Genomic DNA, 27,911 nt, shown 5'->3' on the forward strand with positions numbered 1-27,911 from the left:
TACATGTGGGGGATTTTATTTCAGGCACTTGCTCTTCAGTTTTTCTTACACGATGTTCCACAAATATAAAAATGAGAAACTCTTTCAGATTATCTGTATATCCATATACCTGGATTATTCTGGCTAAAGCGACAGGAAATCCCAGCAGTCTGGCTTCCCCGAGTAACCCTGTACTGCCTGGTTTAATCCCGCCGTCTGAGGGTGGGGTGGGCGTCAGGCATGGCTGGACACAGGAGTGCCAGTGGTGGGGTCAGAATCCAGCTTCTCCCTCTCCCGGCCCCAGTGGGTCTATTCCCCGAAGTCCTTGCTCCTGTCTGCAGGGCTGTGCCCACTGCCGGTGGGGCAGGGAGTGGAGAAGGGGGGCTGACTCACTTGCTCTTCTCCTGGAGTTGCTATTCTAACGGCAGCAAATCCACAGGAAAAAGGTAAACAAAAAAAAAAAAATAAGAATCTTTCAGAAAAAGAAGTATTTTTTAAAAAAAGAGAGAAAAGAAGGTGAGGAGTTCAGTGTAACCAGGTGACTACTCTGAACTGGGGACTGAGTCAGCCTCTGACGCTGAGCTGAATGCCCAATGACAAACGTGACCAGCCGTGCGGGCGGGGGCAAGGCCAAGGACACAGAGGGCCGAGGGCCCAGGGCCAGGTGTGGCGCTTCCAGACGTTTCTACTCTCTCATTTTATTCATGGCGACTTGGGAAGGAAATCTGTCTTTAATGAGCAAATGTAAGGCTGCGTTTTCTTTGCGAAGTCTCCACAGGATTTTCACGGCAAAACCAATGAGAAAATGTCCTTTCAAAGAGAAGACCGAGTGTCCCGAGAACATTTTCTTGAAAGCGCGTGCACGGGCCGCCCTCTCGAGGCATCGTAATGTGCTTCAAAGAACACTTGGTAAAACCCTCTGGCTAAAAAATCAAAATTTCCAAAGCATATACATTTGAAAAAAACAAAATCTCCACTTAAAAGCTTATTTTGACTTGTTGCCCGGGATCAATTGCAAAAGCGCTTCTGTTGAGAAAGGACAGTTCAGCCAAACTCAAGCTGGTTTTTAGAAACAGAACTGGAGGAAAAAAACCCAGAAAACATAAGGCACTGGGCAAATGTGACGTAGGCTGGGATGAAACCCATTCTCCCAGAGCCGGTCTCTCCCACAGCACAAAGCTGCTCCTCATGCAGCCAGCTGGCTGAGGGCCCGGAGTGTGTCCACAGAGGGAGGAGCGGGGCTGGGGAGGGGAAGAGGGGAGGCTGGCTCCCCGAAATGTGACCTGAGGACTGATCTGAGCTGCAGTGAGCACTTTTTACCCAGGGGCTGAGCTTCCTGGGCTCCTGCGACATGGATGGAGCTCTCCCTGCCGTGCTGCCAGCTCAGGAGCCTGAAGCCCAAGGGCGCGCTTCTGTACCCAGCATCCAGTCCCTGCCAGGGCCTTTTGAGAGCCGGATCCTTTGTTCATCTTCTCCTGTTCAGCCCACCCCTGGCAAACTCGAGATCACCTTCACATCACCCTCCCCTGCTTAGCCACTCACTCAGTCCCTGGCCCCTCTGCTCTGTCCCTCCAGAGAAACAGAAACCGACTCAAGGCCCGAGCCTGCACGATTGGGAGGCTGCAGTCTCTGCGCGCTGTGAGATGAACCGCAGGGCGGCTTCCCCACTCACAGGAGGGCCTGGGCGTTCACTGAGCGGTGACTTCTGAGAAGAATTGAGACCCGAGCAGCTCAGGCGGTGGCTCCGACACGTCTTGCCACGCAGGCCTCTCGAGTGCCATCGGAACCGGAGCGGCAGGGGACGGGGATGGCGAGTCTGCAGTGAGCTCCGTGGCTGTCCACGAGGTCACTTGTCCCTCTGCTGCCTGGCCAGCGCCACCCTCAGGGTGTCGGTGCCCAGGCGCAGGCCCTGCAAGCAGGAGACGGCCTGCTGGGCTGCGGCAGAGTCCGGGTAATGGAGGAAGGCTCTGCGCCGCGGGCCCTGCCAGGTGAGCCGCAGGGGCACGGAGCCGAGTTCCCGCAGGGCTCTCTTCAGGTCACTCACACGGGCGTCCCCGGGGAGGTTCCCAACGTAAACATCGGCTGCAAGCGGGGCACCCTCCCCTGGTGGGGAGCCAGGGGCTGCCTCCATGGAATTGGTTTCTGGTCCGGGTGTGTCCGGGGGCCTCCTGCCAACACTCAGGGGCACTGTCTGCTGGCAGCCTGGTTCCGGAAGGTGCTGGTGCTCACCCTGGAGGGTGACATCCTTCCCAGCCTGCTGCTCTCGGGCGCGGAGGCTCCTCAGTATGGGGATTTTCTCCATCATCTCCAGGCTGATCTGAAAAGCAAAGCAGTTGCAGCTCTTTCAGGGACAGAATCGCAGGGGCACCTGCCACACACGCATCCACACCTCTGACTACTGGCTGTGCTGCACACGTGGACTGGATGCCAAGTGGTCTGAGCCCCAGGGACATGGGACTCCCACTGTCCCACCCACTATCTCACACAGACGATGTCACCAGTCTGTAGCTCTGCCCCTCGCCCCTGGCTTAAGGGAAGTCAGCACTCACGGGGGCTCTGGAGCGTTTGCCACGAGCTGTGGAGGCTGCAGGGTTGGGCCTCCATTTTCCTCCAGGCCCAGAAGCAGGAAAGTAAAGCTGGGGCTCTCTGCTCAGGCCTCCTACCCAGAAGAGGCACCTAAGATTGCTACTATTGGGATTATAGGGTCACAAAAGGCAGCTCCCCTAATGACCCCCCCAGAATAATGGGGAGCTGCCTCCGCATCTGCCCCCTACCTGTACCTTTGGGTGGGATGAGGACTTTAATAAGACCACAGGGGTCTCCTCTCCCCTGAAGGAACGTCTCTCAGGGGTCACCCCCTTCAATGCACAGCCAAAAATGCAGAAGCAAGGCAAGTCTGAAACACAGCTTTGAAAACACTTCCTAGCGATGGGTCATCAAACTATGAAATCAGTAACGCTATGCGAAACTTAAGTCTCAATTGTATGCGACTTGCAGACAAAGGACATCTTTGGCTTTATCTGGATTTTTCTAATCAATTAGCTACGGCAGCGGGCCCCTTGGAACAGACTGGAACTGGCTTGATGCAGCCTAAATGGTGAAGGCCTGATGGCTCTGTCCTGTGGGGCAGTTTGCACTGGGGGCTGCCTATGGGTCAGGACAAGTCAGGTGACGCCTGGACCACCGTGCCCTGTGCAAAAAAGAAACAGACAGACACTGTGTAGTCCTTTTTGACAATTCTCATTCTTTAGAGATGCTTTTTATTTTTCTTTTGGGCACCAAGCTTTCACATGAGCATGGTCATCAAGAGGCAAGCCATGGTCACCTGCAGGCCTCCAACAGAAGTGAATATGTCGCAGTACAGGGCAGCACATGAGCTAGACAACTGTAAATTGTTCTACAAGATGAAATAGTTCAACTAGTATCAATGCTCTCATTACATTCAGAATAATATGTAATTTAGAGCAATGGTCCTTATCCTTGGCAGGGTGAGAGAGGAGCCTTTGTGAGGAGCTGGGGTTCCCTCCCAAGAATGACTCACCCACAATTTTCTGTACAATTTCCCAGGGTCGATAAAGACTATTCATGGGCCTCCAAACTACAAGAAGTACACAGGCCCCAAGTTAAGCATCAATAAATTAGAGTAACAGTTAAAGATACACAAAAACCTAAGAACAGCCAAGTGCATTCCTGCAAACCTAGAGGCTCTCAGTCTTCTCTCATCTAATACCTGGCTCTGTCTCCCAGTGCTGGGTGGAAAGTAACCTCCCCTCCCGGCGAAGCTTTTGCTTTGGTCAGAGTCCTCTGTGGTGGGATGCCACTCTGCTCCCTGGCACTGCCACGTCAGAAGCCTTGGCAGGTAGCAGGCACATGGCCTCATTTTGGTCTTGAATGGCAAACAGACTCTTGGCTGTCATAGAAAGACTCTGCAAAGAAAGACTTGCGCCAACATTTCCCATTGTTCAGATACAAAGGAAAACAACTCATGTCTATGCCATGAACATATCCACGATGCGCTCTTTTCTAATCACAAGGCATTTCTCTTCCACTGGGCCCTCGGCCATCCTTCTCAACTGATTCACTGTGAGGAGACTAAACTCACAGAGCAGTATCATACCAGCTCTGAGGCCCAAGGAATCTTCAGCCGATTGTATATTTGCTGGCTCAGAATAAAGGAGCTCCCTGTGATGTGCACGGAAGGATATATTTGTCTTTCCCACGGCATGTTTCAAAACAGATTTCTGCCGCAAAACCCCAAGTGTGAAGCCTCGCCTGAGAATGCTTGCTTCTGCCATAGGGAAGCTTGAGGTGCTACTGGACACAGATGGGAGGGGAAGAATGAGAACGACCTAAGCCCAACCACCCCAACCTCTTTCTACACCTCTATTCCACCTTCTCAGAAAGTTCAGGCTTTTGTGTTTTTTTTGAAACATGTAAAAACAGATATAAACTGGTCATCATTTGATTTTGAAGGATCTTTTAAATTACCAGATTTAGTATTGAAACAGATGATACAATTTAAAAATGCAATTGCAATGACAGAAAAAGTGTGGCTATGCATTTATCTGGAAGAACTGAAAGTTACTTGGCTCTGAGTACAGCACCAGAAGCCTTGAGGTGAGAGCATCCCGTGGGGTGGGGTGGGGGCAAGGTAAGGGGTGCAGTAAGGGGTAGGGGTTTGGGGGCAGGATGCACCCTCCGGGTAAGCACTGCTCTTCTGATGGGGTCCATCGGGAGCTGCGCCAGCCCAGTCTCCTGCCTCCTGAGTTATTTCCCCTCCCATCTGTGTCCAGTAGCACCTCAAGGTTCCCTATGGCAGAAGCGAGCATTCTCAGGCGAGGCTTCACACTTGGGGTTCTGCGGCAGAAATCTGTTTTGAAACATGCCGTGGGAAAGACAAATATATCCTTCCGTGCACATCACAGGGAGCTCCTTTATTCTGAGCCAGCAAATATACAATCGGCTGAAGAATAATGAAAACATCTTAACCACACATTATGAGCTAACTGGCGGCCAGGGCACTGGCACACTGGCATCCGCAGGGGCCGTTAGAATGGAAATGTGGAAGTGTGTTCCACTGCAGGAAAATCGCTCTTTTCATGAGCAGTGTTTGTGGGTAAAGGATGACAAGGCTTCACATCAGCTCCCTCCTCCTCAAGCTCTAATGGCTGTGGGGCGGCTTTGCCACTCTGCCAGCAGCTGGATGACCACGCCGATCCCTGCCACAGCTGACAAGAAAGCCTCCTGTGTGCCAGCCAGCAGGGTGTCTGGACGTCATGGTTGGGATGAGTGCATGGCAGTGCTACTGTTTCCTGGCTGGCAATGAGGAATAGTTGTTACATTCTGTCAATCTGGCATGTGAAGTGAAAAATTATGCTTGTTACTCAAACATGAGAAAACATTTTTGCCTTTTTATAACTAATTCTATTCTAAAAAAAAAAAATAGAATAAACTTTAAGTTTAAAAACCTGTCCCCTAGACATGCTAAGTCAAATACGAATCCGAAATCTGACTTTCAAGATTTCCGATTGAGAGTCAGAAACTGCTCAAAAAAGCAGACACCTGGGCTCCAATCTTAAGGCAGCTACATGCTGCTCTTACCATTTTGGATAAACTGCTTTTCTTTCTCACTCTTGCATTACCTGACCTGAAGATAAGGAAACTGGGAGGATGATCTTTGAATCCCCCTCATTTTTTTTTTAAGAGACAGGGTCTCACTGTGTCACCCAGGCTGGAGTACAGTGGCACAACTCATAGCTCACTGCAGCCTTGAATACCCAGCTCCAAGTAATCCTTCTGGCTTAGCCTCCCAAGTAGCTGGCACTACATGTGGGCACTCACCACCACACCCAGCTAAGTTCTGTATTTTCAGTAAAGACGGGATCTTGCTATGTTTCTCAGGCTGGTCTTGAACTCCTGGGCTCAAGTGATCCTCTTGCCATGGCCCCCCAAACTGCTGGGATGATAGGCGTGAGCCGTGCTGGTGAAGATGAGCAGACATCAGAAGTATTTCTAATACTAAGTTCAACCTCCATAAATAATGAGTTCTCTTGCCTGAGACTAAATTTGGTTGTTCACTGAGGAAAATGCTTTAAGACACTTCCAAATAGCCACAGTGAAATAACCATAGGGAGTAGGTATGCTCAGAGGAGAGCACAGGGAAGGCCAAGGGACCGTGCTGCCTTCCGTAAACATAAACGCCAGGCAGGCCTCGAAGCCTCTGCTGGCTCTCTAAGGGCAGAATCTCTTCAACGTGGCTCATGGAAAACCCTTTTGTTCATAGTTGATCAAAGGTGTCAGTTGGTAGAAAAAGGCTCAATAGGGCCACCCCTTTACAATCACGCTTCGACTGGGAGTGCTGACGGACAGCAGGGGCAAGGCCTGCATCTCCCAACAGGGGGCCTGACCACAGGCAGCGCTGCGTTCGACTGTACCCCAACATCAGGAAGGGATGGCTCAACCTGGGAGGGGTCTGGAAGTCACTAAGAACTATTTAGTAAAAAACATTTCTGTTTCCTGGTATACATGATCACCTTAAAACTGACGCTGCGAAATGCCAGCTTCCATCTGCACGCCTTGGCTCCTGCCTGGCCCTCATTGCGAGGCCCGCGGGAGTGGCTGCCTCCCTCCCCCTGCTCCGCACAGAGTCCTGCATGGGACCAGCAGCTCCTGTCTCACTTCCGCACTTGGGGTTTCAGCCCTCGGAGAAGAGCAGCCGCGTGGTTCCCCTCACGCAGACATGCTTGAGCTTTCCGTGTTGGCTGTTCCGGTGTCACCCTACACACGTCTGTGCGTGAGTTTTAAGAACTGGCGCATATTTAACTATTTTCATTTCTGAATTCTCATTTCTACTAACTGGGTACCCTGGGAACAGAGATAGCTACCTTGCTGCTGTGTGACTGGGTTCAAATGCACCCGGGCGCAATGTCTACCTTGGAAAATATTGAACAAATTTACTATTTTTTTCCTAAATATTGTTGATTATAAAATTAGTATATGCTTGTTGTGGGAAATTTGGGAAGAAGGTAGAAACGTTTGAAATCCTATCTCCCAGAGACAACTACTGTTAATATTCTGCTGTATTTCCTCGCCGTCTTTTCTCTCTGCCCTTTAACATGAGCAGAATATGAAATTCCATATCAAGCATGTATAATATCATATCGTGCCTTTTCTACTTTATACCACATGCACTTTCTCCTGCCACAAAATATTCTTTAAAAAGCTGTATGCACTTAAATGGACTCCCCCCACCCCCATTTTAAGGCACTGCATGTCTTCTATAGAGATTCAGATAAGTCCTTATCTGAATTTCTACATATTTCTCTAGGACTGATTCCTAGAAGGTAAATTATCAGGTCAAATACAGTAATTCTTTTTCAATGAAAGCCTCTCTCAGCTCTCTAAACATACTGGCCCAGTTGTGGGTAGGGGTTGGTTCACAGTTAGCTGCATTATTTGCAGAGAACAATTGTGTTTTATGCGGGATCTGAAATTGGGCTTTGCTGTCCCAGGACTGCTGCTCACAGAGGAGCCCTGTTCTCAAATCCTTTTTCTTGAGGTATCTGTAGATCATGCAGCATACTGTGGCCATCTGAGAACCACACTCCCCAGCAGGCTGTGTGGGGAAGAGCGGGCCATGCTTTGAAAGCTACAGAATTGTTTCCTTGAGTATAAGCACGAGCGTGGCTCTGGAAGAATCCAGTTTCCCTCATTAAGGAGCAAATGAGTTGACCCAGGAAAGTCAGATGCACGGGCCTTGGTCTATGGTGTCCTCGCCAACCCCGTGGTAATCAGGAGCCATGTGCTGATGGTGAGGAGCACAGGACGGGTGAGAAGATGTGTGTGACTGACAGTCCTTCCACTGGGCAAAGGCCAAAAGGCCCTCTGGTTTGTGGGTCTGGTGACGGGGACCACAGGCTTGTGGGTGCCCGAGTGGCTTCTCCTGAGCCCTCAGTCTCCCACTCAGGCTGGCCTTGCCTTCGGCACAGTTGAGGTTCTGGAGTCTGTAGCCATGTCCTACCATTCCTCTCTGTCTCCAAGGTATTCTTAACATATATCATTCCTGCCCCCAGCTCAGGCCAGCTCTAGGGAAACACTACAATGGTGTGGTGGGTCTCCACGGTCCAGGTGCAGCTTGGGCAGAACAGAGCTTCCAGGGTGGCGGCGGCAGTGGCAGACCCGGGTCTCCCCACAGAGGCTTCACCTGCTGCTGCTGTCCAGGTGCTCACTCGGGTCCAGCAGGTGACCACGGGTCTCAACAGGAAGTTCCGTTCTTCTGTTGTCAGTGACTCATAGGACACCACTCAGCCCTGGGAGCTGGCTGGGACTCTGCATTTCACTCCCGACAAGGGCAGGCACTGGTCAGTGGCCAGGGCTGCTCGACACTAGCGGGTCCAGGGCTTCAGCCATTTTCGGTTTGCTACGGCACAGAGCTGAGGCAGCCAAATGGCTCTCAGCCCACTACAGACTACCTGACACACGGCTGTCACAGGGAGAGACATCGCACGACTGTCTCCAAGGATCAGAAGATCAATGGAGCTGGACGAACTGCCCAGAGGTTCAGGACCACGTTCCAGCTTCAGGCCCAGGTCTCTGGTACCATCTCCAGCCTGGCAGAGATCCTTGGTGTAGCTAGGGGTTCAGGGAGTCCTGGGTTTTCAGGGTACGGTGACTGGGAGATGGGGCAGCAGCGGCTATGCATCTTGTGGTTTGGATGTGGCCAAGTCACCCTGAGTTTCACGGGTCTGTGGGTGAGGCGATCGCCCCCAGAGACAGAAGAGCACACGAGGACAGAGCAGACAATGTGCCTTCTAGAAAGGAGGAGCAAAAGCAGAGCCTTCTGGGGAATGTCTCTGTACCTCTCTCTCTTCCTGCCAGAAAGTTTCTGATGAGGGTGCAGAGTGCTGGAATGCATTTTAAGCCCCTTACCCAACCCTACCAGGCTTCCTTTGCTGAAGATGATATGGAGGAGGAAGAACAACGGCTACTTGTGGGGGGTCTCTGCAAAGCACCTGCATGGTCACAGGCGGTATGGAGCAGCCAAAGGGCTGGAGAGCCGGGGTCAGTGCCTTTCTCTCCTTGTCCTCCACTGAGAGGTACAACCCGTGGCCATAGGGAGACACGTGCAGGACCCCATCTTGGCTCAGTGAGCTACCCAGAAGGACCATCCTAAGAATTCTGCCAGCAGCACAGAGAAAGAAGAAACATGCATGGCGTCCAGGAAGATTTCTCAACTTTATTAACAGCCTACCTCGCATTTGCGACAGTGATGTTGACTGCGGCCATGCTCCCAAGCATCGTCCTGGGCATTCTACATGCACTGCCTTTATTTCTAAGACAAACGAGAGGGCTTGGAGAGTGTGTTGGAAGTTACAGATAGAGCTATGAAGTGGGAAACTCTTGACTGCTAAACTCAGCAATACACTCACTGGCCACCTGGTTTCCTTTCTTTAAAATCATGAGACACAAGCTGAGAAGAGCCCACCGGATGTTGATGGTCAATCAAGGAGATGCGCTGTTTACAGTAACTGCACTCAAACAGAGCGTGTATTAGACTGGTCTGTAAGACAGGGCAGGACGTCAACTACTGGAAAGGTGGAACAAAGGCCAGGGAATTAGATGCTGAACTGTCTTTGCGTATTGAAAATGGGTGAAGAAAAGGCAGTTTGTACTTCCTTCACATCCTTCATCAAGAGATCTATAATGCATCCCAGATATTCCAGTAAGATAGCCAAGAGGTAAATTCTTAGATTCTAAAACCTATAAACCTATAAACCTATCACTATAATATCATGGAGAGGTATGCCAAATATTTGCCAAAGTCAATTTGAAACAATATTATAACCTAGCACTGAACTGTCCGCCTTCCACATTCAAACTCTTTAATGGAATTTAGAGATTTTTTTTTTCTCCCAACAAATGTTGATGAAACTCACTTTGGCTGCATGGCTAGCGAGACTAAAACAGAAACACTGGGAGCTGTAGAAAGTGACTGATTTCCTCTGACCATGCAAAGGGATTATCAGGTGGTGAAACTGAGAACACAGGACCCAAAATGAGAGATGGCCTTTGAAAAGTCTGAGATTCTTGCTGAGGCCTCATAAACAGTGACTTTCCTGGAAGAGGGTCTCGACAAACAGCGAAGCCCCCGATGCCCTCCCTCCCCCACAGTGCTGACCCTCAGGAACCCTGGCTGAGTTTGGTTTGCTTTTCTGTAGGAGGATATATTCACCTAACGTGTCCGATGACTTCATTTGTTGCTACTTTTCTAGTTAAAATCTTCAGAATGTAACCAGGCTGTTCCTAGCTCTCTGCCAGAGGAGGCTGTCCAGGCTCCCCCTAATACGGCTGCAATGGGCCCCTTCTATGACGCGCAGGCCTAGAGGGACTGCCAGCAGCTTCGCTGTGGCTAATGCCCTTGTGCAACCTTCCCACCATCCCTGTTCTCGGCTCTGAGGAGCCGCCAGCCTTATGCTCTGTCTCGTGCATTGGCTTCCACTTACAAGGAAGCTGTGGACCAGAGTTCCCAAGTGAAAGACTCTTAAGAAAGACATCAAGGGATATTTTCATTTCCTGGAAGAGCAGTGACCACCTTCTTTCCCAGTGCTCCTGGTGCGCTTAGAGGGCCGCCCATACACTCTGGGTTACAAAGGCTGTTCCCTCTGCGTTCATCAGCGGCCAACCGAGGAGTGCACACCTGGGAGTCCCCAGCAGTGCCTGCCCAGGACACCTGCAGGGAAAGTCCCGGCTGGGCTGTGGCAAAAGCAGCAGGTATTCTGTGTTCATCCTTAGAGGTGATGTTGTTAATTTTCCATGCCCAAAGGAGGGATTCAAACGGTGAATGATTTGGGATTAAAGAATGGGAGACGTGGACACGTATGCTTATTTGACCAGTAGTTTTGTCCACACGAAGCACAAATGTCTTCTCAGTAATTCTGGCTGTTTGCCAGCAGAGACAGCATCATAACCTACAGGCTGATTTGCAGGGTCAAACTCCTACTGCAGACTAATTTGCAACCTGTGCCATTACCTAATCTGGAGATAAAAACCACAAATGCATAAAATGTACAAAGGCTTGGTACTGCCTCCTACTCAGGCTAGATCTGCTTGAAGATCCAGATCGTCAGTAAAAAAAAAAAAAAAATCTGGATTTAAAAAGGGAAGACCAATGAGATAACACCAGGCAGAGCTTGCTGCGCCTGGGATGGCAGAAAACAACTCTTAAAAATGAAAAACAGGGGGCAAGTAAAGCTTCAAGGCATTCACCCTCCCAGCCCATGTGGCCATTTCTGCCATCTACAGAGGCAGATTTTAAACCTAGCTGCTTTTTCGAATCCCAGAGATCCATACGCAGATTCTTAGGCCTGGGCCTGGACATGGTCATTCAGGAGCCAAATTGCTCAAAAGCTCCTTGGGTGATTCTAACATACAGCCATGCTGGGATTGCCAACAGCTCCCATGCCAGACAGAAAACACTTAAAAGAGGAGGAGCCGCTAAGCTACAGGCCAGAGCTGGCCACTGCCGTGACCCACCTTGAACCAGGTGATTCCCATTGGCTTTGGGCGCTTGCAGCCTGTGGCGATGACTCTGGTTGGAGTGAGGATGTAGTCCACAGTGATGTCGTGCTCCTCAACAAGCTCTTCAGGGATGTCCACGACCTGGGGGAAGAGAGGAGGGATAAAGGGGCTGCTGGGAATGCCACTGCAGTCGTGCACACTGCCCCGCTCGGTGGGAACGTGAGGCTGGCTAGAGAAGCACCCCCAAATCCACTCTGGGGCTAAGGCTTAGCCGCTGTACCACTAGCAAGTCCAGCCCTGGCTGATCCACACCACTCGCCACACAGCATGGTTCAGAAGCAGATGAGTCTCCTTCCCCACCCCCTGCTCCCTCAGAAGAGAATGGCAGTGGCTCTGCTCAGCCCATTCATAAGGAGCACCTGGCAGTCGTGGACGATGGTGACCACCGGCGTCTCCTTGCTGACGGCGCCCATGGATACCATCATGGCATATTCCAGATCGGCGTAGCCTTCTCCCTTCCCGATTCTCCAGCCTAAGAGACAACCGAGAATCAGTATCGCTGTGCGGTCCGGGGCATCGCTGAGAAGTGGATTTTCCATCAGGTCCAGTGGAAGAAGAAACTTGAACCCAATATCCCGAGCTAATCTATAGAAATTTTCACAGAAATGCCCACCAAATGCCCACAAGCAGCCCACACTGACGATGGACTTTTGGGCATTCAACAGGAATAACAACACGGCCAATGTCAGGTGGTGAAACTACAATGACGTGAACACTGGACCGTTCAAGCATGTCACAAAGGGAAACAGATCACACTCATGTCAGCTTTATGTTAGCAAGACTCATACTTAAAAAGAATGAAAAGAGCAGTTCTCAAAAAGACTAAAAACAAATTCCCACTGAAAGCAAAACATGTTTAATCAACTTACCTCGGAGGGAAAATCGCTGCTCTGAAGTCAGGAGTGTGTGAGGGCATGGCCTTGTTTCTTCAAAAGCACTGAATACTCACCACTAGATACCAGGTCCTGAGGGACGGTTTAAGCAGTACTAAAGCGTTTTGCAAATTTGTAATTAGTGGCACAACAAAAGGATTATCTGAGCCTAAAAGAGTAGCTAAGATGAAATCGAGGTTTAACAGCCTCTCTAGCCAAATCAGCTATTCAGAGACAAAAATGCAGGAAGACAGGATACATCAAATGCCTTCTGGCCCCCATGGAGAAGCTACAATTCCGCTTATGAGAAGCCTGAGGCACTTCAGAAACTGAGGCCAGCGAGTGCCACCAGCAGCATCACCCGCAGAGCACCCGCATCACTGCTGCCGTGTCTAAGACTCACATCTGATCAAGCTACTTTGACAATTCAAAACCTTCAACTGTGCATGCAGAGAAACAAGAGAAAGAAAATTCAACAGAAAAATAGCAAAGGATATGAACAGTTCACAGAAAATGACAGGCAGATAAGCCGCAAACATGAAAAATGCTTGACTGCCTCCTAATTAGGTGCAAATCAAAGGCAAAGGAGATGCTAGTCACTGCTCACTAGCGGACTGCTCAAAGTCAAAGCTGGCTCACTCCAGCTAGGAACAAGGAAGCGGGAAAAGAGGCCAGGCACCACTGTTGAGGGCCGAAAGTGAGCGGCCCTTCTGGTGGCAACATCAAGGCTGACAATCCACCCTTCAGTTCAGCAACTCCCCTCCGAGGCATTGGCCCCCATGGATAGCCCCAAAGGTGCACCTAGACTATCCCACAGAACATACTTCACTCCAACATGGTCTGTAAGAGAAAAGACCAAAGCCAAATCTGGAAATAACTCATAACGTATGCATCCATCGGCGGGGGTGGGCTTCAGTTACTGAGGTGCAGTCACGTGAGAACACCGTGCAGTTCCTCAACACGGGCCCAGGAGGCCAGCCCGCAGTGCTGACAGGAAGGGGCTCTAAGACACAGTCTCCAGCAAGGCACGGAGCTCTGTGTGTGCCACCGTCCCTTCTGTGAATGCAGAAAAGGGATATCTATACATCTATACCTAAAAACTATAAGACAGGGGTTCCCAACTCCTGGGCCACAGACCAGTACTAGTCCATGGCCTGTGAGGAACCGGGCCACACAGCACGAGGTGGGCAGTGAGAGAGTGAAGCTTCATCTGTATTTACAGCCGCTCCCCATCACTCTCATTACTGTCTGAGCTCCGCCTCCTGTCCGATCAGCTGCGGCATTAGATTCTCACAGGCGTGCAAACCCTCGTATGAATGGTGCATGCCAGGGATCTAGGTTGCGTGCTCCTGATGAGAATCTAATGCCTGCTGATCTGTCACTGTCTCTTATCACCCTGAGATGGGACCGTCTAGTTGCAGGAAAACAAGCTGAGGGCTCCCACTGATTCTTTATTATGAGTTGTATAATTACTCTGTGATTTATTATGATGTAGGAATAACAGAACTAAAGTACACAATAAATGTAATGTGCTTAAATTATCCTGAAACCGTCCCCTCCCTGGTCCATGGAAAAATTGTCTTCCATGAAACCGGTCCCTGGTGCCAAAAAGTTGGGGACCACTGCTATAACATATCTGTGTCTCGGCAAAAGAAACTATCATCAGAGTGAACAGAGAACCTACAAAATAGGAGACAATTTTGCAAACTATCTGTCTGACAAAGGTCTAATATCCAGAGTCTGTAAGAAACTGAAACAAATTTACAAGAAAAAAACCCAAACAACCCCAATAAAAAGTGGGCAAAGGGCATGAACAGACACTCCTCGAAAGAAGACATTTATACAGCCAACAAACATGGAAAAAAGCTCAACATCACTGATCATTAGAGGAATGCAAATCAAAACCACAATGAGACACCACCTCATGCCAGTCAGAATGGCCACAGATGCTGGCAAGGCTGTGGAGAGATAGGAACACTTTTACACTGTTGGTGGGAAGGTAAATTAATTCAACCATTATGGAAGACAGTGTGCTGATTTCTAGAGGACCTAGAACCAGAAATACCATTTGACCTAGCAATCCCATTACTGGGTATATACCCAAAGGATTATAAATCATTCTACTCTAAAGACACGTGCACATGTAGGTTCACTGTAGCACTATTCACAATAACAATGACATGGAATCAACCCAAATGCTCATCAACGATAGGCTGGATAAAGAAAATGTGGTACATATACACTATGGAATACTATGCAGCCATAAAAAGGAATGAGAGCATGTCCTTTGCAGGGACATGGATGGAGCTGGAAAACATTATCCTCAGCAAACGAACGCAGGAACAGAAAACCTAGCACTGCATGTTCTCACTCGTAAGTGGGAGCTGAACAATGAGAACATATGGACACAGGGAGGGGAACAACACATACTGGGGCCTGTCAGGGCAGGGGCAGTGGGAGGGAGAACATCAGGTAAAATAGCTAATGCATGCTGGGCTTAATACTTAGGTGATGGGTTGGTAGGTGCAGCAAATCACCATGGAACACGTTTACCTATGTAACAAACCTGCACATCCTACACATGTATCCCGGAACTTAAAAAAAAAAGATATCTGTGTCTCACACGCATGCTACTATGTACAACGTCTACACTAGGAACTCCTAATGGGGCAGCTGGGAAGGAACAGGGAAGACTTATGGTGCAGCTTTCTGTGCTGTTCAATTTTCTAAGCAGACACATGGTTACTTTACTACTTTACACAGGGGGTTAGCTAAACGATGAAACTTACGAAGTGTTACTTTCTTCTTTATACATCCCTGAACCTGATGATATTTTCCAAGAGGGGACCTTTGCTGATTTCCCACCACCAAGAGCCCAAGTCCCATCATCTGGCCTCAAGGCTGCTGAGAAGGGGCCGCAACCTAGTAAAGGGCCTGCTGCCTGAGGACCCTTCAGTCCCCTCTGCCTGGACTGTGGCCGGCATGCAGGAGCCAGCCCTGAGGCCGCTACTGAGGAGATGCCCCCTCCAGGCTGGCACGTCCCTCCTCAGACTCCCCTTCCCCCTCCCGTCGGTCCTGACTTGTGTCCAGCACTGAGCACGTCACGTCCTGTCCTGGTCCAGCTCTCGTGTCTGGCCCACCCACACACCATGCACTTAAAGACCACCCAGTGCCTGCCTGGCACACAGCAGGTGTAGCAGGTATACCAGAACAGTGCGCTCCTGAGTCCCCAGCCCCGATGACACAGACGAAGCACCAGAAACTGGGAATGCACTGAAAGCAAAGAATAAAGAACAATGTCCCCACATCAGCTCCAGTGGTGGCTGGGAAAAGAGGGCACCCTGAAGCTGGAGACAGCAAGAGGTGGTGTGGTGACCCTGCCCTCTTAGCAAGGGCCCCCTGGCCTTGTGGACCGAGAGCAGCCTGCCTCACATGCAGCGTGGCAAAGCACCAGGCCTGAGAAGAAGTCTCGGACACACCACGTTGTTCAGGAGTCTCGGACACACCACGTTGTTCAGGAGTCTCGGACACACCGTGTTGTTCAAGAGTCTGCTGCTTCATAATAAAAACAAAGCTTGGAACCTACTGTTTTTCCATTTGCTGGAGTCCCTCCAAAACCAACTATTTACTGACATACTGAAAAGAAATTAAGCTCCAGCTCACTCAAGAACAGAGAGAAAACCTTTCACCACCTGAACAGAGAGTTATCTCACTTTGTTTTTCCTGCTAAGAAAAGTGAAAATGCTGTACACATGTTGGGCTGGGGCCAGAAGCGGGTGGGCTGAGCCAATTCTTCACCTCTGAAAAATGCAGCGGCTTCGGAGACCAGGTAAGCGCATCCAGAAAGCAGACACCACTGGCGACTTTTGAAAGACAAACAGCCTGGCACGCAGCCGCCTTCAGGCAGAGCTGTCACACTCAAGGGTTCCCATCTGCTAGTCTTACCTTTTTCAGAAACGGCGACGGATCCCACCACAACTAAATCCACGAGGACTCTGGAGTCCAAGCCTATGGGGACACTGTAGTTCCTCACACCCTGCACACAGAGATACGGATTGGAAAACTTCAACTCCAGCTGCTTCCTCATTTTATAATTCATGATCAAAGTGCACTCAGGGTTTGAATCAACCTCTTGGACAAAACAGATGCAGGCACACGCAACACCGGAGATGTGGCGTTTCAGGAGAAGCCGCATTCCAGAAACCGCTTTAGGGCACAGTTTCCCCAGTCTCTTTCCCAGAAAGGCGGCCAAGAGGAACTCACAGCACAAATTCATAGGCTGCCAACTTCATAACATTTAACAAATCGTTTTTCCCCATAAGGCAGAAGAGCACAGTGGTGAAAACACAGGGGCAGAGTCCCAGGGAACTGGGTTCAGAGCCTCTGAGCCACAGGTCCCCAGCAGGCTGGAGCTCTCTGAGCCTCAGTTTCTTCAGCTGTAAGACAGGGACACCACCCTCTGCCTCGTCGGACCAGTGTTGGAATTAAATAACAAAACGTATGCATTTAGCACATAAGACATGGTCAGTAAACACTGTATGACATATTTATTCAATATAAAATCCTGAAGGCCACTATCTTTATGTACAATATACTCGCTTCTAAAAAATTATCCCTTCAACCAAAATGTCCCAAAAGTGTACCGCTTTATACTAATGCAGGCATGCATATAAAGAATAGGGAAGCTGAATATGTTCATGGTTCTCATAACACGGTTTATGTAAGACTCAGGAAAAAGCCATTTTCAGTCCCGTATCCAGCAGTAACTGATCATTCGATGTGGCGGTGGGATCTGCCTGCAGTGCTATGACAAGTTCCGTATGGATCAGTGCATACGGGTGGCTTGGGGGTCTCCCGACAGTCACAGAAGGGGGCTTAGTCCAGGAAACCCTGCACTGCAGGAAACCCTGTGTTCTCATCATCTCGCAGGGTCCACGGGGGCAGGCACTGACCAACTGCAAAGGAAGAGACGGCTTGCATTTGTGAATGCTGACCATCACCATGCTTTCGTCTCAGTTTTCTATCTTTCTTTTTCCTTTGCTCCTTTCTCTCTCTATATATATATTTTTTACTTTATTGTATGTATTTTTAGAAACCATATCAAATTCTATTTTTGGAATAAGCAGGGTGCTAATAAGTAAACAATGAAACGTTCCAGTTTTATACATTAGGCTTAAGTGGCAAATCCCATAAAAAAGCGTATCTTCAATTGTCTTATTTTTTCTTCTCAGTAGATTAAAAATTAAATGACTTGGAGTTTACCTTAAGATTCTTAAAAAAGTCACCAAATTCGACTTAACTGTAAAATACATGACCAATTTTATTATAATGCACCCTAAAGTCATATTTGTACACTTGGTTTTACTAAATTGTGAGGCATTCAAGAAAATCTTAAATATGTAATTATCAGCAATTACTCACTTAGAACTGGTGAGGCAATTTCCAATGGAGCATGTTTTGGAAATTCTATCCTGTCTCCCCAGTCGCTCTGGTGGCACCTGATGAACAGGCCGGGAATAAGAAAAAGCTCCACAATACTGAACATCGCAGGTTAACACCGGGCAGTGCCAGAGAACCAGATCACCCGTCTTCCCTTTTCTTACAATAAGGAATTTATAATTTGCCAATTTCGTGCAAAATAGAAACTGAGTTACAGAAATAGAATCTGTTTACTCAGTTTTCCCACGTGGCTCCATTAAGGACAGAATTCTTGAATACTTTAATATCTCTGTTCTTTTGGCTCTGTTAAAAATGAATTCCAACTGTGTGCTGCTATCTTATGCTAAGTCGTCAGAAGCCTTCACAGGGTACAGTTCTTTCCTAGGTGGGGACATTGCTTCTGGTACTTACCTGAGAGGTGGCACATTTTCTCAAGATGTCTTTAGTTGCCCCAGGGGGTGGTGTGATCTTATTAAACAATCCCGTTCTCAGTCGTGGTGTTGGAACCAACAATGTTTTTTTGCTCTTTTAAAGAAAAGACAATCAATAAATTACAAAATCAAATTATTCCATAGGACTTTCTTATATGTATTTTTACCATTTCAGGAGAAGAGGCAAATTACTATTATCCGCATGGTTTTTTTTGGTGTGTGCCAAGGAAATTACTTATTTGAAAACCTAATTAAATAATGTGTGGGGTCGATTTTTCTTAGAATCACCACTCGGCACCTCCTTACCCTGAAGAGCCAGAGGGTTTACTAAACTTGCTAATTTGATTTCACTTGCCATTCAAAATTGTTACAGGTAAAAACTGACAACAGAAATCCAAACTAAGGTCAGTTCTGACAAAATCCCAACCTCAACTTTCCTGTGCCCCCTCTGCTCTCAGCACCAAGTGCGACACAGTTACAATAATGCTGTCATTAGAAACTGGCATGGCATAGCTACCTTAGTTACTCAAACATTTCTATCTAGTTTGACTGTTCAGCAAATCACAGTCAAAGAGATCAGTAATCATGATAATCAATACACTGATACGTGCCAATAGCCCTTGACTTCTACTTAGTTCTCAAATGCCTATTGTGAGAACCTCTAGAACAGGGCTTCTCAAAGTGAGGGCCCTGGGCCAGCGCATCAGCGCTCCTGGCACCTGTTAGAAATGAATCAGCCCCTCTGGGGGTGGGGAGCTTCGATGAGCCTTCCAGTGACTCTGATGCACACGAAAGTTTGAAAACCACTGGCTGAGATGTCTCTGTAGATTATGCAAGGGTAAGCCACAAGGCAATCATAAGATCTGTGAAATCTTTCATGTAAATAATAGTATATTTTAGTTTTTGAGCAGGAGATGACAACCCAAGACCAATAAAAGACCCATGACATCTGTTTGGCCTATTTCAACAAAGGCTTGTCAACCACAAGAGTGAAGTACTTCAACACAGGCAGCTGTGACTGCGGCCTGCTGCTTTTCTGGGAGTGGTGGAGTGTGGCTCCCTCATGGGCAGTGTTGGAGTCCTGTGCCCCACATATGGGGATCACTCTCTCTTTTCTAGAAGCTGCTCATCCTCTGGCTCAGTGGATCTCAGCCTTTAGTGTGCATTAGAATCACCAGCAAGCTTTAAGAATTACCGAGGTCTAGACCTCACTCCAGAGACTGGAACCTGGCATGGCCAACAGTCTTCAAACCTCCTTGAGTGATACCACCATGTGGCCAGAGCTGGCAAGTGGCACCTAAGCCAGTGGGGCTTAAGCCTGTGTACTTGGAGCACCCTCGGAGTACTGATTGAACAGAATCTGATGCCACTTTAGAGACTCACAGGTCTGGGGTTGGGCCTGGGAAGCTGTGCATGCCCCCGGCACTGCGGACTGTCCGGTCAGACACTGGCCACTGTGCCTGTAGCTGTGGCTTGAGGTTGTGCATGCCCCCAGCACTGCGGACTGTCCGGTCAGACACTGGCCACTGTGCCTGTAGCTGTGGCTTGAGGTTGTGCGTGCCCCCAGCACTGCGGACTGTCCAGTCAGACACTGGCTGCTGTGCCTGTAGGTGTGGCCTGAGGCTGTGCATGTCACCATTGCCTGCCCACATGCAGCTGGGGCTCAGGAACTTGCATCTTTACCTGCATCCCAGCTGATCCTTAAGTCCCTTAAAGTTTCCAAAAACCACTGAGGACCCTGAAAGCACCAGAACTCAGGGACCACATGTGTGTAGTCTTGCACCACTACATCCTATGCCCAGCACGCAGCCTGGGAGATAGCTCAGTTACTTATGCAGTTGTTTCTTCAGCCTGAATAAATGATGGCATGAAGCAACAGGGATTTGCTCAGGGCTGCACCCCTCTTCCAGGCCATCTTGGCTAAGGCTGACCACACGGTCAAGGTTTCTGATTTTTGCTCTGAGGGGCTGACAGCTGAGAACACCCTGAACTTCACACTTGCAAGGACTGGCTCTGGAGTCAGGTGGCTGAGTCAGAATCCTGGCTGTACTGAGACTGATGTGCGGTAACCTGAGGTGGAGCCTCTCTGTCTCTGGTTTCAAGTGTCACAGAGGAGCAGAGATGGCTCCCATAGTAGTAGAGAACCAAACCACATAATACAGGGAAAACATTTAGACAGAACTGCGCCTCGAATGCAGTGACTGCCGACTGCCGTCCTTCCTTGCTACTGCTGCTATTACTACTTCTAGCTTATTAAAATGATTCATTAACTGGGAAAATAAGGCTGACAGGAAGCTATGCTTCTGGAAGAGCCTACATGGAAGTCTCTCTTGGGGCTGAACCACCATCAGCAGACAAAATGATCTCCCACACGAGCCTGGACCCCTCCTCTCAGCTCCGGCAAGAGGTGTGGAAAGTGCCCCTCTCACCAGGGCTTCTCAGGAGTCTGACTTGGCAACTTGGGTGGGAGAATGGAGTCAGCACACAACGCATGGCAGCGTTAAGGCAGAATGACAACGATTCTGCCCTGAGATGGCCAGTACTATACTCATGTTATCAGCTGCGATTTGCTCCAGCAAAACCATATCAACCATTACGTTAAATTAATGGGGCCATTTGAATGTTACTGATTTTATAGTTTTGTTTGTATTTAACTTATATGCTTATTTTGGTTTTATAGTTACATAAAAGCTATCTGCATTAAAATTTATACCAAGTTTTATGTTTATCATATTGAATTAGTTTATAATAAACTAATTTAAATCAACCCTGGGGGAGTTTTCTGGTTTTCCTTGAAAAGGGGCCTGTATGTTTTCAGTTGAGGAACAAGTGCTCTAACCGATACCTTTTGAGGGTACATCAGACTTCTTACTCGTGATTTATCATGTTTCAAAGCATCATAATACCACAACTGTGGCAAAAAGAACTAAATCTTCCTTGTAATCTTCCTCCTCTGATGAAGCACATCAAAACTGAGAATGCTTCAACGCCATAGTTTTTGTGTTTGTTTGGTTAGGAAGTTAAAAAATAAAAATTACAAAAGCATGCCTGAATTTAAAAAGTTCAGCAGTGTTGAGAAGAAACCTTTCCAGTTCTTAACCGTGGTCTTTATAGTATCAGAACATGACAAGTGACCGTCTGTCATCCAGAAGCAAATGATTCTGTGTTCAGCAAGCTTGTTAGCATGCTCATTTCAAATGGCAAAGTGGTGTCATCTATTTCAGCTCCAGCTCCTCAATTCTGGAACACCACAGGTTCTGCCTGGGTTCCCTCTCCTGTGCCAACTGGGCCTGGAAGCCATTGTTTTGAACATCCTTTATCTCTGAATTTAGAAGCATTCGGGACTCCTGATTGACTGAATTGCTAAACAGCTGAAGGGCTTCTGAACTATTCTTGGAAAAATCACCACCAAGGGCACTTTCTGTATTGGAGGGAATCGGAAGCACCGACTTTCTAAATGCAAGACAGACGTGTGCACTGACCAGCTACCTGGAAAAGGTGTCCCCCTTGGCGGCCAGGTCTCGGCTCGGCTCAGGGAAGTGGAATTACCTGCAGCACCAGCAGCCGAACGCCTTCCAGTGGTTTATCAGGGTCCACTTTAACTTCCTGTGTTCTGGCAAAAACGTCTAGGTCTTTGATGTTTTGGCAAGCCAGATAAGACCCCTAGTTAGGCAAATAGACAGAGTTGCACTTACTTCAAGGACGAAGAAGCGAGCACTTTTCTGGGGGGCATCAGGATTTACTTTAATGGTCCTGGCCGTTTTGAACGCCTGCAAGCGTGGGAGTTGCTCGGCAGCATGAGAAGCGCCCTGTTTCCAATGCAATCGCACGTTACTGAAAGGACAGCACGCTCTCAGGCCAACTGCAGCCCAAGCAGCTCGGCCCAGAATCTCACCCAGACAGGCACTAACAGTCACCCAAAGAAACATCTAAGGAAGCAGTCTAAGTAAGGAAAGGGATTTGAGAAAAGTAGCCTAATCCCACTTGAGCTTTAACTGAAATGAAACATGCATTCCAAAAAGAATACAAATCCCAAGGGCAAAATTTGATGATTTTTCACAAAATGAAGGCTGCTGTGTAACCACCACCAAAATCAAGCAGTAGCATGACCTGGAAGCCCCCACCTCTCTCCTGTTTGATTCGTTTTTTAAAGATTTCTACATGATTCTCTACATCCTTCATCTTTACCTCTGTTAAGATACATTTCTCTCTCTGGGGTCAGAAGCATTAAAACAAAACACAGTAACAACAAAAAACCATCAAAAGATCAGTTTTTCAAAGGGACAGGACAGTCTTGGAACCACCTCAGCTGAGGACCAGGGAAGGTGGAGCTTGTTGTGGAGAAGCCAGGCTTGGGGAGAGGCAGTCCTGACAAAATGGGGTGAAGCAAGCCAACAGCTAAGTCCTTCAGGGCAGAGAGCATTTTTGAAAAGCGCTTTCTTTTGCTCTTGGAAAATAGGCATGTCAAAGATGATGAACTGCTGCATTGCCTCTTCCGAGTAACCTTTTTTTTTTCTGTCAACACTGTTAGGAACAGCCATCTTTGATTGTCTTACATTTTGATCAGCTGGGAAACTGAGGCCCAGCATCCTTAGGCTGGCAAGGCATTCATTTCTTTCCAAAGGCCTAGAGCCTGAACTTCCAGTTCAGTACCCCTTCATTCCCTAACGCTCTTAGCAGGGTCAATTTTGTGAAAAGCCATTACGACAATAACATGCTTCCGGCCAGGATAAATATTTTACTTTGTATCAAACAGAAAACAGCAACTAGCACCACCTTGAAAGGTGACAGCGTGCTGGCAGCCCTCGGTCCCTCTCGGCGCCTCCTCGGCCTTGGCGCCTACTCTGGCCGTGCTTGAGGAGCCCTTCATCCCGCAGCTGCACTGTGGGAGCCCCTTTCTGGACTGGCCCAGGCCGGCTCCCTCAGCTTGCTGGGCGGTGTGGAGGGAGAGGCGCGGGCGGGAACTGCTGCTGTGCATGGTGCTTGTGGGCCAGCGCGAGTTCCATGTAGGCGTGGGGAGCCCCGCACTCACAGCGGCTGGCCCTGGGCAGTGAGGGGCTTAGCACCTGGGCCACCAGCTGCTGTGCTCTATTTCTCGCCGGGCCTTAGCTGCCTCCCCAAGACCTGCAGCCTGCCATGCCTGAGCCTCCCCACCCCCACCGGCGGGCTCCTGTGCAGCTAGAGCCTCCCCGAGGAGCGACGCTCCTGCTCCACGGTGCCTGGTGCCATCCACTGCCCAACGGCTGAGGAGTGCGGGTGCACTGCACGGGACTGGCAGGCAGCTCCACCTGCAGCCCCAGTGCGGGATCTGCTGGGTGAAGTCAGCTGGGCTCCTGAGGCTGGTGGGGACTTGGAGAATCTTTATGTCTAGCTAAGGGATTGTAAACACACCAATCAGCACCCTGTGTCTAGCTCAGAGTTTGTGAATGCACCAATGGGCACTCTGTATGTAGCTAATCTAGTGGGGAGGTGGAGAACTTTTGTGTCTAGCTCAGGGATTGTAAACGCACCAATCAGCATCCTGTCAAAACGGACCAATCGGCTCTCTGTAAAATGGACCAATCAGCAGGATGTGGGTGGGGCCAGATAAGAGATTAAAAGCAGGCTGCCTGAACCAGCAGCAACAACCCTCTCCAATCCCCTTCCACATTGTGGAAGGTTTGTTCTTTGCAATAAATCTTGCTGCTGCTCATTCTTTGAGTCCACCCTGCCTTTGTGAGCTGCAACACTCTCTGCTAAGGTCTGCAGCTTCACTCCTGAAGCCAGCAAAGACCGTGAACCCACCAGAAGGAAGAAACTCTGAACACATCCAAACATCAGAAGGAACAAACTCCAGACACGCTGCCTTTAAAAACTGTAACACTCACTGCGAGGCTTCATTCTTGAAGTCAGTGAGACCAAGAACCCACCAATTCTGGACACAACCTCACCTAGAGACAACCAAACCACCCTGCACAGAGACGCAAGAGGCCCCAGGTGAAGAGTAAATGACGTCTCTAAATGCTAAGGACGCCCTGGCCAAATGGCTTTGATTTCACACCACTGCTCACTGCTCGCCACATTCTCATCCACCATGACGCAGTAAGAGAATTTTATTACTAGTGTTATTCATTTAAGAATATTTTGTTTTCCTTTTCTGGACTCCAGAAATATGTCAGTACCTTAAAGTTGGGTATCCTGTGATGAACAGGTCGGGGAAAGTCAGCTAAATTTTGTGATTCCATGTAGCCCCAAATTTGTTCACGTATGTCCTGTTTGGAGACACCTACTGCAACAAAAGATTCCCACTTAATAACATACAAAGGAATTCCAGAGCCCATGCTGAAACCGCTTAACAGTAGTTAAGCGACCCCCGCGTGTAGGTCAAACCGGCTTCCGATCCTGTTCCTGAGCCTCAGTTTCCCCGACCTCAAGGGGCCCACGGGCTCCCCCACGTGCACGGCAGGTGTCCCTCCCGCCTCGTCTTCTCGTTATCTTTATTTTTCCTGACATCTTTCTCGGGATTCCGGGCGAGAGAGCCGCTGGTTCGACCCGAACCCAGCACAGACCCCCTCTGACCTCCTCGGCCGCTTCCGGTGATTCTGCCCCATCCTCTGCCAGCCCCGGTGGCCCCGCCTCGACCCTCACCGGTCCCGGCTGTCCCTCCCCATTCCCAGCCGCCCCGGAGCCCCGCCAGGCCCCCCACCTGCCCTCGGCTCCATGGTGATGCAGTCGCTGTGCGACGCTTCCCGGCGCAGGTTCTGGCGCGTAGTGACGTCACCCGCTCCGCGCCTGCGCGATGGTAGGAGGGGCGGAGGCTGAGCGGGCGAGGCCCAGGCGCGCATGCTCGGGCGGGTAAAATCCGCGCCGGGGACAGTCAGGGATGCTCCCAGGCCCTTCGCTCTTGCTTTCAGCTAGTCATTGTCGAGCGCCGCCCGTGACAGGCGTTTTGCCAAGCCCTGGAGTTACTGAAGTGAACAAGTCCCTGGTCTCTCGGGACCCATTGCCGGTTGAAACACATCCCGCCTCCTCTTCCAGTCCTAGAGGCCGCCTCCTCCGGAAAGCCGGCCTTGATTGCTCCTCATGTAGGACGCGGTTCCCTCCTCTGAGATCCTGCAGACTCTCAGGTGCTCACACGTGGGTGTGCAGCGGATTCAGCCGGCAGCTCTTTAAAGCGGCAGGCAGATGGAAATTCGAGGCCAGCCCAGCCCCGGCGACTGCGCTGCGGACGGCCAGAGGCCATCCTTTGAGAAACACCCGTGGATTCTTACCCTGACCTCTGCATACCCTGAGAAAGAACGAACGTGGCAGCCTGCGTCTGCTTGTCTATGTCTTTCATGTTTGCTAACCTAAGGGTCGAGAAGCGGCTCGAGGAGACCAGGCTGCACAGACCGTCACGTCCATTCCCTCTCTGGCCCCAGCCCCGCGGGAAGAAAACGAGGGCGTTCAGCCTGGCAGTTCATTCACTTATTAGGAAGAAGACATCCCACACCCCCACCCAGCACACACACAGATGTCAGGGACCAGCCACTAGGAACCACTCCCTGAGCGAATGAAGGCATCCCCGTAGCCACGTGCCTGGTACATCACAAGCACTCAAAACGTGGCTGCCACCTTTCGAAATTGCATGCCCAAAACTTTATGAGATCCTCACAACACACTTGGGAAACAGACAAAAGAGTTTGAATGCCCGCCTACTTAACAGATACAGAAAATGGTGTTCCGTGTACAAGCGACTTACTCATGTCTGCTGGTAACTCATAATGTGCCGTTTGACCTCCTTAGGACATAATTAATAATGGTAATTAACAGTGCTACGATATGCCAGGCATTGAGCTTAGCGCCTTAAAAGTCATAGCTAACTATGTTTCACAGCAAACCCTCAGAGGCAAATGTGACCCGCCTCCTACGCAGGAGGCAACAGAGGCTCAGACATGTTAAAGAAGCTTGGCCTGAGTCTCCCAGCAGAGAAAGGGCAGAGCGTGTAGCCCTGACAACGTGCTTAATTGCAACTCCTGTGGGTCCCATCACAACTCTCTCTTCCTATGTGGTGTCCGCAACATTAATACATAGAGACACCGAGGAGCCTCAGTTCTGCTTGTGGGCGGGCCTGTCTTTCACCAGGCTGGCAAAAGCAGTGCAAACATCATTTTGGAGGTGATAAAATAAAATCTCTCACAGAGGTTGGATGTCCTTTCCGCCTTTCATGGAAGCACAGTAGATCTGCAGAGTGTTTTATGCAAGTAGACTTGGTGCCAGTAGTGGAAGTGTGTGCAGGATTCTGTTACCCAGCTGTGCTCAAAACAGAGCCCAAGTCTCTCCGATGGTCAGCCTGGCACGGCCCCCAGATGGTAACGAGACGCCAGGGACAATCTGCCAGTGGCAATTTTAGAAAGCAGGTGGTGCTAGGAAGGGCATTCTCTTCAGTTCCATGTTTTCAAGTTAGAAGTGCCTCAGAGCATTTACCCCCAGCTCCTTGAGGGGGTGAGGCAGAGGATCACTTGAGCCCAGGAGTTTGAGGCTGCAGTGAACTATAATGGCACCACTGTACTCCACTTGGGCGACACAGCCAGAACTCCTCTTTGAAAAACATAATAATAAATAAAAATAATAAATAGTAGTAATAAGAGACCCCTTAGAAAAAATCAACTGGCTCTTTTATGAAAGGAAGATGCTTTCAGAATGAATAGCTAATGCATGTGGGGTTTAATACCTAGGTGATGGGTTGACAGGAGCAGCAAACCACCATGGCACACATTTACTACCTATGTAACAAACCTGCACATCCTGCACATGTATCCTGGAACTTAAAATAAAATTTTAAAAAAAGAAGATGCTATTGAACCTTAACTCAAATACTTAAAACTCAATCATATGTGTAAATTTGCATTTGGGCACTTCAGGATTTTTTTTTGTTTTGGTAGATTTTATCATTTAGAAAAGTTTTGGTTTGGCCAAGAGTGGTGGTTCACACCTGTAATCCCAGCACTTTGGGAGGCTGAGGTGGGCAGATCAATTGAGGTCAGGAGTTTGTGACCAGCCTGGACAACATGGTGAAATCCCATCTCTACTAAAAATACAAAAAATTAGCTGGGGGTGGTGGCTCGCGCCTGTAATCCCAGCTACTCAGGAGGCTGAGGCAGGAGAATCACTTGAACCCAAGAGGCAGAGGTTACAGTGAGCCAAGATTACGCCACTGCACTCCAACCTGAGCGACAGAGCGAGACTGTTTCAAAGTAAAGAAAAAAGAAAAGTTTTACTTCACAGCAAAATTGAGCAGAAAGTACAGAGAGTTCCCATATACAACCCCTGCGGCTGCATTTATACACAGCCTCCCCCACTATCAACATCCTGCTGTGGAATGGTACATTTGTTACAATGAACTTACACTGATACATTGTTATCATCCAACAGCCATGGTTTACATTAGAGCTCAGGCTTTCTGTATGTTCTGGGGTTTTGACAAATGCATAATGGCATGTGCCCATCCCTGGAGTATCAGGCAGAATATTTTTACTGCCCTACAGATCCTGTGTGCTCTGCCTCTTCCTCCCTCCCTGCCTGCCTGCTAACCCCTGGCAGTTACTGGTCTCTTTTCTTTCTCCATGGCTTTTTCTTTTCCAGAAAGTCAATA

The 27,911-nt window shown here is 49.2% G+C and overlaps 1 protein-coding gene and 1 long non-coding RNA gene across 27 annotated transcripts, besides 6 other annotated features; one reads left to right on the forward strand and one right to left on the reverse strand.

The window, feature by feature from the left end:
* MTHFSD (methenyltetrahydrofolate synthetase domain containing) lies at positions 1-25,050 on the reverse strand. 26 transcript variants are annotated; one of them, NR_027489.2, is made up of 9 exons: positions 24,988-25,050; positions 24,460-24,563; positions 21,994-22,107; positions 18,279-18,392; positions 17,850-17,926; positions 16,374-16,464; positions 11,916-12,028; positions 11,512-11,637; positions 1-2,296 (listed from the first exon to the last, which is right to left on the reverse strand). NR_027489.2 is itself a non-coding variant. In NM_001159380.2 (8 exons), the coding sequence occupies exons 2-8, from the start codon at positions 24,520-24,522 to the stop codon at positions 1,826-1,828; spliced, it is 1,092 nt and encodes a 363-aa protein (NP_001152852.1). In that variant the 5' UTR covers positions 24,523-24,566; positions 24,988-25,050; the 3' UTR covers positions 1-1,825. The 26 variants fall into 26 exon arrangements, 24 of the variants coding, with proteins under 24 accessions (NP_001152852.1, NP_073601.2, NP_001152851.1 ...); NR_027490.2 differs by lacking the exons at positions 17,850-17,926; positions 21,994-22,107 and adding an exon at positions 21,788-21,961 and having other exon boundaries at positions 24,460-24,566; positions 24,984-25,050; NM_001159380.2 differs by lacking the exons at positions 17,850-17,926; positions 21,994-22,107 and adding an exon at positions 21,848-21,961 and having other exon boundaries at positions 24,460-24,566.
* Positions 22,657-23,321: an enhancer, noted in NCBI's record as "H3K27ac-H3K4me1 hESC enhancer chr16:86586448-86587112 (GRCh37/hg19 assembly coordinates)". NCBI's record gives its function as "activates a minimal SCP1, AML or CMV promoter by ChIP-STARR-seq in naive H9 embryonic stem cells {active_cell/tissue: H9 hESC(naive)}" and the evidence as "EXISTENCE:reporter gene assay evidence [ECO:0000049][PMID:30033119]".
* Positions 23,322-23,984: an enhancer, noted in NCBI's record as "H3K27ac-H3K4me1 hESC enhancer chr16:86587113-86587775 (GRCh37/hg19 assembly coordinates)". NCBI's record gives its function as "activates a minimal SCP1, AML or CMV promoter by ChIP-STARR-seq in naive H9 embryonic stem cells {active_cell/tissue: H9 hESC(naive)}" and the evidence as "EXISTENCE:reporter gene assay evidence [ECO:0000049][PMID:30033119]".
* Positions 24,907-25,120: a silencer, noted in NCBI's record as "fragment chr16:86588698-86588911 (GRCh37/hg19 assembly coordinates)". NCBI's record gives its function as "represses an EF-1alpha promoter that drives an FKBP-Casp9 reporter gene in an ReSE screen in K562 erythroleukemia cells {active_cell/tissue: K562}" and the evidence as "EXISTENCE:reporter gene assay evidence [ECO:0000049][PMID:32094911]".
* Positions 24,907-25,332: a biological region, named in NCBI's record as "ReSE screen-validated silencer GRCh37_chr16:86588698-86588911".
* Positions 24,953-25,002: an enhancer, noted in NCBI's record as "active region_11317". NCBI's record gives its function as "activates an Ori minimal core promoter by ATAC-STARR-seq in GM12878 lymphoblastoid cells {active_cell/tissue: GM12878}" and the evidence as "EXISTENCE:reporter gene assay evidence [ECO:0000049][PMID:35858748]".
* Positions 25,043-25,332: an enhancer, noted in NCBI's record as "active region_11318". NCBI's record gives its function as "activates an Ori minimal core promoter by ATAC-STARR-seq in GM12878 lymphoblastoid cells {active_cell/tissue: GM12878}" and the evidence as "EXISTENCE:reporter gene assay evidence [ECO:0000049][PMID:35858748]".
* FLJ30679 (uncharacterized protein) lies at positions 25,135-27,114 on the forward strand. Its single transcript, NR_026674.1, has one exon. It is a non-coding gene; the product is annotated as an uncharacterized protein FLJ30679 (long non-coding RNA).
* The last annotated feature ends 797 nt before the right edge of the window (positions 27,115-27,911 follow it).

Source organism: Homo sapiens, chromosome 16, assembly GCF_000001405.40.
Source record: "Homo sapiens chromosome 16, GRCh38.p14 Primary Assembly".
NCBI classification, from domain to species: Eukaryota; Metazoa; Chordata; class Mammalia; order Primates; family Hominidae; genus Homo; species Homo sapiens.